This window comes from Homo sapiens, chromosome 20 (genome assembly GCF_000001405.40).
Source record: "Homo sapiens chromosome 20, GRCh38.p14 Primary Assembly".
Classification (NCBI taxonomy): domain Eukaryota; kingdom Metazoa; phylum Chordata; class Mammalia; order Primates; family Hominidae; genus Homo; species Homo sapiens.
The window spans coordinates 59,429,628-59,438,967 of record NC_000020.11 but is presented as its reverse complement, the minus strand read 5'-3'; the positions used below and the strand labels follow the sequence as shown (position 1 = coordinate 59,438,967).

Below are 9,340 nucleotides of genomic sequence, written 5' to 3'. Positions count from 1 at the left end.
GGCTTGGAAAATTGCAGGCAGAAGTACTTTCCAACCCTGGAAGGGAAAAAGGACCTGGCTGGACAGCTGGGGCCAGGACAGAGGTATAGGAAGAAACAACCATCTGTTGGAAGTCGTGGCAGTGGCGCTGGGTGGCCCTGAGAACAGGAGTCGCCAGGGCATTCAGGAAGACATGAATGTCAACAGGTAGAAAATTCCCCTGACTCAGAGATAAAGAACACTGAGATAACCATAGATGGGTGTTCAGGACTGTTAAACCTGCTATTTCTCTCTCTGCATGAAAGACAAATGAAATTGTTTGTGTGATTATCTCTGAAGAGGAAAGGGAAAATGAGAGCAAAACTTGACAACCAGAAGGTCCATAAAACTGGGTTCTAGCTACAGACATGTGCGGTACCTGCAATGAATCCCTTCACGGGAGCCCCTAATCTCCAGGTTGGCTGTTTAATTACAGAGCAGGGCTGCTGGAAGGCACAAGACAGTTCAGAGTGCTGGAAAACCAGCTCCTGGAATGACAGCTCACCCGCTCCATAGGTATTTGACAAAGCCTATTGTTTAGGTAAACCAAGCATCCTTACAGCTCTCTTTCTTAAACCAAGCCCTGCACTGCCTGGGGCAATGGTCTCTCAATCTTATAATTAGGCAAGAGATAAGCACAGTGAAGATGACAGCTGGAGGTGTTTTTTTTTTTTTTCTTTCTTTCCATTTTCCTGTGAAATTCCTTCTTCCTCGTATAGGCCCCAAAATCACAGAAGGAATTTTACTTCTCCACTCCACCCACTTTGAAAGCCGAGATGAATTTCTTTTTCCAGGCAAGCTTCTTAGGAAACTTTGCATTTGCCAGTATTAAAAGAAATGGAAATACACAAACATTTCATTTTCATTTAATTGTCTTATAATCTGGATAAATGAAATTGCCTGGGCCGCCTGTCAAAGGCCGCAACAGTGGCCCCGGCCAACAAAAGCCATTTTACCTGAACAAAGCCCCGTTCTGCACCAACTGGAAAATGACAAGCTCAGGGCCAGCTGTCTAATATCTCATCTACCTTGTCATCCCCACTCCCCTTCCCTTCATTTATATGTCAGAATCTATTACGGTGCTCAACCGTTGTACTAAGCTGTTCTTTTTCCACTTAATTACCGAGCTCGAATTACTGACCCCTTGTCTGTTTTATTAAGATGCTGTAGCGATAATGAATCATTTGAGAGGAGAGAAATTCCAATTTCCTGTTTAGCCGCCTCTAGATGAAATCTCTTCCAGGACGGTAACCAGATTGGCCCGTATCTTGTGCCCATCCGGTTTAATGGAATCACTCCAGGCTGAGCCTCACCTCTTGTTTTGTCAGCTAAGATAGAACACTGCACCGGAAATACATTGGTTATTTCTGTAAAAACATTCAGGAAACAACTGGAACCAAGTCACCACTATCAGGTCAAAAACCATCACACCAGCTCCTTGGAAAATGGGGCTGTCCCAGTCACATGCTTGGAAGTAGGAGTTACTGGGTCTGCCTAGTACTGGAAAGGAGCGTCATTCCTTCATGGACTCTCAGGACAGCGTCTGTCTCAGGGCATCTTCTCTTGGTGGGACCCAGGCTTCTGTTGTGAAGATTATGTTAGAACCACTCCAACCCCTTTCCCAACCACCAGACCAAAGGAAGGCCCTCTAGACATCATAAATATTATTAACATTATTGTATATCCCTAACCGGGCACGTGGGCTCCATTTTCACACTAATAATCCGATTATGAGAGGGGGCAGATGAGATGTGTTTCATGAGGTGAGTCTGCAATGGTCCATTTCAGCTGGGAATGATTGCGTCTTCCTGTGCATCTTCAAATAGTTTACCAAAATGTATTCATTTCTACAGGAGGAAGGAGGCAGGCATGATTGCCTTTATGTCTCCAGTTAAGAAACTGGAAGACCTGCTTCTGGGCTCTAGGGAGCTTGTGCATCGGAGACTTTTGTTTTCTTCTTGGTGCCAGTGTTTGGGAAAGCAGGTAGAAGGATGAAGGAGTAGAAAGAAGGAAACCAAATAGACCCACTTCTGAATTCCAGTGAAATTTCTACCACATGTGACTTCAGAGAATTTTCTCTAGGGCTTTGGAGTAGTTGTGCCTTGGTAGAAACCTGGTGTTCTTGGGGGCCGGGGCTCATGGAAGACCTTCCTGACCCTGCCTCTCCCTTTCTCTCCCTCCTCAGCTCCTCTGAGTCTCACCCCTATTAGCTCCTCGCTGGTCTCCTTCTGACATTGTACTTTTTACTTGGCCTGAACCTCTTCTCTCCCAGTTCCCCCCAACCTAACAGTAACTCTGTGGTGGCTAACAGAGTAGACACTCAATAAAAATCCATCAAAGGCAGCTGAACTGTTCGAGTGAGAAAGGTTAGCATTTTCTTCAGGCCAGTGGCTGGCCAAAGCAGGAAAAGCCTGTGCACACCTAATCCATATTTCGATACAGTTCGCCCAAGGTGAGGGTTTAAACTTTCATTAAAAAAAATAAATTGGTTGGTTGGTTGCCTAAAATAGACCCGAAAAATACTAACTAATGAACTCTCAGTGGGCATAACCCTTCCTAAGGCAAAGAGGGACAAAACCAAGACATCCAGCTTCACTTATAGCAAATCTGTACTTTTAATGCTAAAAATCCCTCCCCCCAACTTCTTCTATTTTTCTAGTGTGTTTGGTTTATTATGATTGATTGTGAAAAATTGTACTGGCTTAAAGCCATAGAGCAGAATTTCTGTCTTTTTTTAAATTATTATACTTTAAGTTTTAGGGTACATGTGCACAATGTGCAGGTTTGTTACATATGTATACATGTGAGCAGCATTTCTTAGCCTGGGTCAGCTCATTCTCTGTGGTGAAGGTCTGTGCATTGCAGGATGTATAGCAGCATCCCTGATCCCCATCCACTCAATATCAGCAACCTCCCCACCCCCTGCTTGTGACAACCAAAAACGTCCCCAGACATTTTCCAATGTACCCACAGTGGGGGGCGGGGGGAGGCCAAAATCACCCCAGATGAGAACCACTTTAACAGAGACAGCCACAAATGCCAAGAAATTAAACCTTCAAATTAATGTGGCCCATTCTCTTAAACTTGACAAATGTCTACAAATAGCAAAGCACATTTGTTGTGCTTCCGTTTGCATTTCTATTCTCAGGAGCAATTATCTACTTAATGAAAACCTTCTGTCTTCATCAGACTCATTGGCGACACCAAGGTATCAACAAACCCTGACCACCTGGGAGGTGAGGCCTAGAGCAGGTGACGCTCCGCTGGGTGGTGACGCTGTGCGCAGAATTTCATTCACGAGGGGCTATTTCACGACAGCAGGGACAGAAAGCTAAACAGAACCTCCATGTTTCCCAGCCTTTCTAGGGGTGTCAGAGCTGCTGTGTTTGAGCAGAACCATCCAAGTTCTGGTTCTTGTTAAAGGAAATAAACAGCACCAGGTGGGGAAGGGGTGGGGAAGGAGGTGAAGAGGTGGGGAGGTGGGACCCCACCCTCAGCAAACACATGCACCCGGCAAGTCCCTCCTCATCCTGCTGCTGTTTCCTTGTCCCCAGAATACTGACATCCCTACTATTATTTGGCCTATTTCATAGGTTATGACCAGGCTCTCTTTGTTTATATGAATACGCCTTGAAAAATAAGAATAATTGTTTTAAAAGTTGAGCAAAGAAAAGGCTTTTTATTTTTTATCTGGTCCCAACCTTTGCAGACCCTGGAAGGATACCAGACTCTACAGATGGCATTTCCTGTTTAATCAGTGAAACTCTGATTCAGACAGCGTAATGGTCTATTAGTAAAGAAGGTGTCACATTGCAGAAGAGAGTTTATCATCTGCCACTATTGATATCTAACAGAGGAGTGATTCTAGCAACATCACTGAGTACAGATCTCCATGGGTGGATTTTAAAGTGATTTGTATGCATTGGACTTATTGGCATGGGACAGGATATATACAGTTTAAACTTCATATTTATTTAAACAATGCAATTCTTATGAAAATGAGTTCACTTTGAGCCTGTTGAAAGAAAGGAGCCAATGCTAGTTAAGGTCATCTTGGTTTTATGTAAGAACAAGGATATTTCCCCTTGGCCTAATTGCTTTAAAATGCAATCGAGCTGTGGTTCTCAAACTTGAGCATATATTAGAATTCTCTGGGAGGCTTGTCAAAATCCACATGGTTGGGCTTCCACCCTCACAGGTTCTGCTTTGGTAGGTCTGGAGTGGGGCCTGTGAATTTGCGTTTCTAACAAGTTCCCAGGTGATGCTGGCACTACCAGCCCAGGTGCCACACTTTGAGAACCATGGCGATGGAGCTGAGAGGAATCAAGACTTTCAGTTAGCAGTTGCTGTTGCCGCCCCGTCCACATTCCCTTAGCACTCACCTCTACCCCGAAAGGCTGCTTCCAGCATTCCTCGCAACTCTCAACTGCGGGGCTGTTTGGCTGCAGGAACCCCCGGCCTACCTAGCACACATGGAATTGCCCCTGGAAACAGCCCCTAATCGTGTGCAAGCAGGACGGGGTGGATAAATATCCCAGGTTCCTCCACCCTCAGATGGGATAGTCATGAGCTATCTGCACCCGTCCCAGTACTCCAAGCATGGGTCCGCATCAGTGTGGGCTGGTTTTCTCAGCTGTTTATTACCAGCCTGTGATGGGCTAAGTACTGAAATTGAGCACAAGCATTTAGAAATTTTTACAGCAGTTTGGAACATTAATTTACAACTGTTGAAGCAAATTAATAATTTTTAAATGGGGCTTATATTTTCTATGGCTTTGTTCCTTTTTTTTTTTTTTTTTTTGACGGGGAGCGGGGGACAGAATCTCGCTCTGTCACCCAGGCTAGAGTGGAGTGGCATGGTCTCGGCTCACTGCAACCTCCGCCTCCTGGGTTCAAGCAATTCTCCTGCCTCAGCCTCCCAAGTAGCTGGCACCACAGACACCTGCCACCACACTCGGCTAATTTTTGTATTTTAGCAGAGACGGGATTTCACCATATTGGCCAGGCTGGTCTCAAACTCCCGACCTTGTGATCCTCCCGCCTTGGCCTCCCAAAGTGCTGGGATTACAGGTGTGAGCCACCATGCCCGGCCTGTTCCCATTTCTTATTTTACAAAAATATCAACCCTCCATGGCTTGGCAACAGAAACAAATCTTTCACCATAGACCATTTGGAAAGCACTGTTCTATACCATCTCTGACCAATCTGAACCTTTGCTGCTTCCAGAAGTTACTGTTCGAGAGCATATCTGTTCTTCTTCTCCTCCCCGACTCTCCCTTCCCACTCTCCCAGGGGTATTTCCTGAGATTGTCTCCCAAATAGACCATTTGTCTTTGAGTCCTTGTCTCATGGTCTGTTTCTGGGGAAACCCAAACCAAGACACTTAACTGATATAATTTCTTGAAATTCTTCAAAATGAGACTCTCTCTTTCAATATACTTCAAAATTGCGAAATTTCTCATATTTGGGTCTCCAGCTTCTTCTTGAAAATAGGAAAACATAACAACATAGGGTCTTCTTTTTCACATGGCAGCTATCAGTTGTAACTGAGCTCCCTTTGGATAAAATGTGAACACTCCAATTTTGCCACAATCCCCACCATTCTCTATTGTTTCCCTGAGTCTATTTTTTCTTGCCAATTATCAGTTGGTTGCATGGTGCTTTTCTTAAATTAGATGAATATCTCTCTTTATCTCAGGCTTTGTAAATAATGGGAACAGATAAATCAAAAGAGTTTCATGTTTTGAGTAAAAAATTAGGGAATAGACCTTTCTATGAGAGAGTAAAGAGGATTCCTATGTATTTAATATGAGAACAGGGACTGTCATCCCTAGCTCTGACTCCTGTAGGAATTTGAGTTTGTGATCTCCTGACTTCAAATTGGGATTTCGTCTCCTACCTGCAAGAGGTAGTCCGGTCAAATAGTCAGCAGGCATTTTGAGGGATGCCATGGGGATTGAGTGAAACCAATTTTGAACAAAATTGGGAAACCTATGGGGAGGGAGTGTAGACAAGAGAGCCTCCCTGTGTCAGAGGATAGAACAGACTGGTATCTGGTGGCTCACGCCTGTAATTCCAGCACTTTGGGAGGCCGAGGCGGGCGGATCACGAGGTCATGAGATCGAGACCATCCTGGCCAACATGGTGAAACCCCGTCTCTACTAAAAATACAAAAATTAGCTGGGCATGGTGGCGCGTGCCTGTAATCCCAGCTATTCGGGAGGCTGAGGCAGGAGAATCGCTTGAACCCGGGAGGCGAAGGTTGCAGTGAGCCGAGATTGTGCCACTGCACTCCAGCCTGGGCGACAGAGCGAGACTCCGTCTCAAAAAAAAAAAAAAAAAAAAAAACGAACAGACTGGTATCTTCTCAAGTCCTTTTCCCCCTGAATGAGGCCTCAGATGGGGAGACAGGCTACTTACTTGGGGTCCCATCCTGTTGCTGTGAACCCTCAGTAACATCATCTAGGGCCTTCCCAGCATCCCTTATCCCCCCCTGTCATGTAGAGATAGGAGCAATAGCCTCTCTGGGTTGCACTGGATGGGGTGAGTTATTTTGCAGGAATATTTTCTGTAAACTCCACAAATGCTATTTATTACTATTAGTAAGTAATGTAAGGAAACATACGCTTCCAAACACACAGTGTCTTCTCCAGCCAAGGTTACCTTAAGAGATTATGATATATTCTGAGACAGCATCTAAAGACAGCATCACCGGCCCAAACTTTGTCATTTCTCCTTCAGAAATACATTGCACAGGAGCCTGCTTTTTATAGAACTTTTTACATGCTTCTCTTTGTTCTTTGGATTTTGGTTTTCATTAAGACACAGTTTTAGGTGAAAACAAGAGGAAAAGTCCCCCAATCCCAACACCCTGACACAGCAGCTCTTTTTATTTTTGCAGCTGTCGTGTGTACTTACAGTTTGATTCTTGGGATCCCCCAACCCGACATTCTCTCAGAAATGTTTTCATATCTCTCAGTGTCTTTATAGTGAAAATCTCTTGTGGGGCACAGGTGGCAGGAGCCTCCGCAAGGCCCAATCCGAGGCATTTAGGTAGTTTTCTAGTTTGTTTCCTTGTTTGTTTATGCAGCTATTTGCAAAAAGGTGCTTGAACATCTTCATGCGTGCATGGCCCGGAGGAAGGGGACCCTCAGGACGAAAGTCCAGGGGCTTTTGAAGCCATGTGAGAAGATCAGCCTTGGCTTTGGGGACTTGACTCATTGTCTGGAATATTATCTCAGAGTGATATTTCCCTGCGTATCATGACCTAGTCTTAGCTCCAAACGACTTCTTTCGAAAAATGCAACCTTCCTCAAATAACGAAAATCTGACACTGCCAAGAAGATTTTTAAAAATATGCCAAGGTCTTACTCCAGAAAGAAAAGGCAGCATCCAGGGAGGAAGGTTGAGGTCACCGAGGACCCAGAGTTGGGGTGCATTCCTTAAAGAGCTTTGGCAGAGCGCCCCCTCCTTATCCCCTCACACCTGCACCGCCACCTACAAAGGTCACAGCCACCTTCCCTACCACAAGGTTGGCTCTGAACTAAAATACCGTAAATATAAATCCTTTTGTTTTTATGTTTCTTTTTCCCAGGAACACCAGTGGTCACCTGAAATCAACATTAAAAGGGCAGAAGGCTCCAGAAACCCAACTCTTTCTGCAGTAAAAGCCTGAAAATTACGTTTTGATGCAATTAAGAAGATAGCATTTTAAATATAATTCTATCAATTCAGCTAAATGCTCTCAAACTATAAGATCTGCTCTCTGAAACAAAGAAATCCATCTTTCCAATCAATATAATTACATTTTTAAATGAAATTTTTAGAGTACTCTCTCCATGAGGCATGTCAGTTGTTTCCAAATGCTTGATTAGGTTATTAATCTCTTTTCCCTCCTTACAATGCACTTCAAGAGGCTACTTTATATCAAGTTCATGTTAATGAAACAATTAAGATAATTTAAGATAATCTATCATCTCAAAATATATGATTCCAGATCCCTGAAAGCACCGCCTAAAAGACCCAAGAATCTCATTGCAGAAATGCACCTCCAAAATGGAATTATGTCTTACATTATTTGAAAGACTTAGAACATCTTTCAACTTTAGGTGCTTTTGCCATAGTGAGAGTTACTTGAAGTTCTATGTTTTATTTCTCCCCTTAGGATTTCCTGGATTCCCAGGGGCCTGAATAACCCACAAGAGTAGTTGGGAAATTATATAAAACAATCTTGGCCGGGCACAGTGGCTCATGCCATAATCCCAGCACTTTGGGAGGGCGAGACAGGTGGATCACCTGAGGTCAGGAGTTCGAGACCAGCCTGGCCGTCTTTACTAAAACTACAAAAATTAGTCAGGCGTGGTGGCGGGCATCTATAGTCCCAGCTACTCAGGAGGCTAAGGCAGGAGAATCACTTGAACCTGGGAGGCAAAGGCTGCAGTGAGCTGAGATCATGCCACTGCACTCCAGCCTGGGCTACAAGAGTGAATCTGCCAAAAAAAAAAAAAAAAAAAAAAAAAGATAAGAAAATCTTTGACCAGGCACGGTGGCTCATGCCTGTAATCTCAGTGCTTTGGGAGGCCAAGGCAGGCAGATCACAAGTTCGAGACCAGCCTGGCCAACATGGCGAAACCCCATCTCTACTAAAAATACAAAAAATTAGCTGGGCGTGGTGGCAGGCACTTGTAATCCCAGCTACTCGGGAAGCTGAGGCAGGAGAATCATTTGAATCCAGGAGGCGGAGGTTGCAGTGAGCTGAGATCACGCCACTGCACTCCAGCCTGGAGACAGAGTGAGACTCAGTCTCCAAAAAAAAAAAAAAAAAAGAAAAGAAAGAAAGAAAAAGAAGAAAAAAAGAAAAGAAAATCTTTCTGAGGTGAAATAGTGCCACAAAATGTACCCATGGTGATAGTGATCAGGTTGGTGGATTCCTGGCCAGGTGACTCCAAATATGTGCCAGGAACCTTCTGTGGGGGACGGAAGTTTTAATACTTTTACAAGAGTTGGACCATATATTAAAAAGTCATCTCATACGATTTGTAAACTTTGCTGATCACATGCTATACCATACTTTAAAAGGCTGGGTAAATAAGAAAAAAAAAGAAAATGCTGCCACAAAATCATCTGAGAAATAGGATGGAATACATTTGTATGACAGAGGGAAGGACAATTTCATGGAGGCACAAACCAGATATGGCAGCCAGATTCTGTATTTGGGCCCAGCCGCATCATGTGTTGGCCCCGTTGTTCAACATCGCTAAGAATTTCAGGACGGTGACAGCCTTGAATTCAACCAAGTGTGAGTTCTTGTGAGCCAGAGCTC

The 9,340-nt window shown here is 44.3% G+C and overlaps 1 annotated feature.

Annotated features, from left to right (window-relative positions):
* Positions 263-818: an enhancer, noted in NCBI's record as "NANOG hESC enhancer chr20:58013205-58013760 (GRCh37/hg19 assembly coordinates)". NCBI's record gives its function as "activates a minimal SCP1, AML or CMV promoter by ChIP-STARR-seq in naive H9 embryonic stem cells {active_cell/tissue: H9 hESC(naive)}" and the evidence as "EXISTENCE:reporter gene assay evidence [ECO:0000049][PMID:30033119]".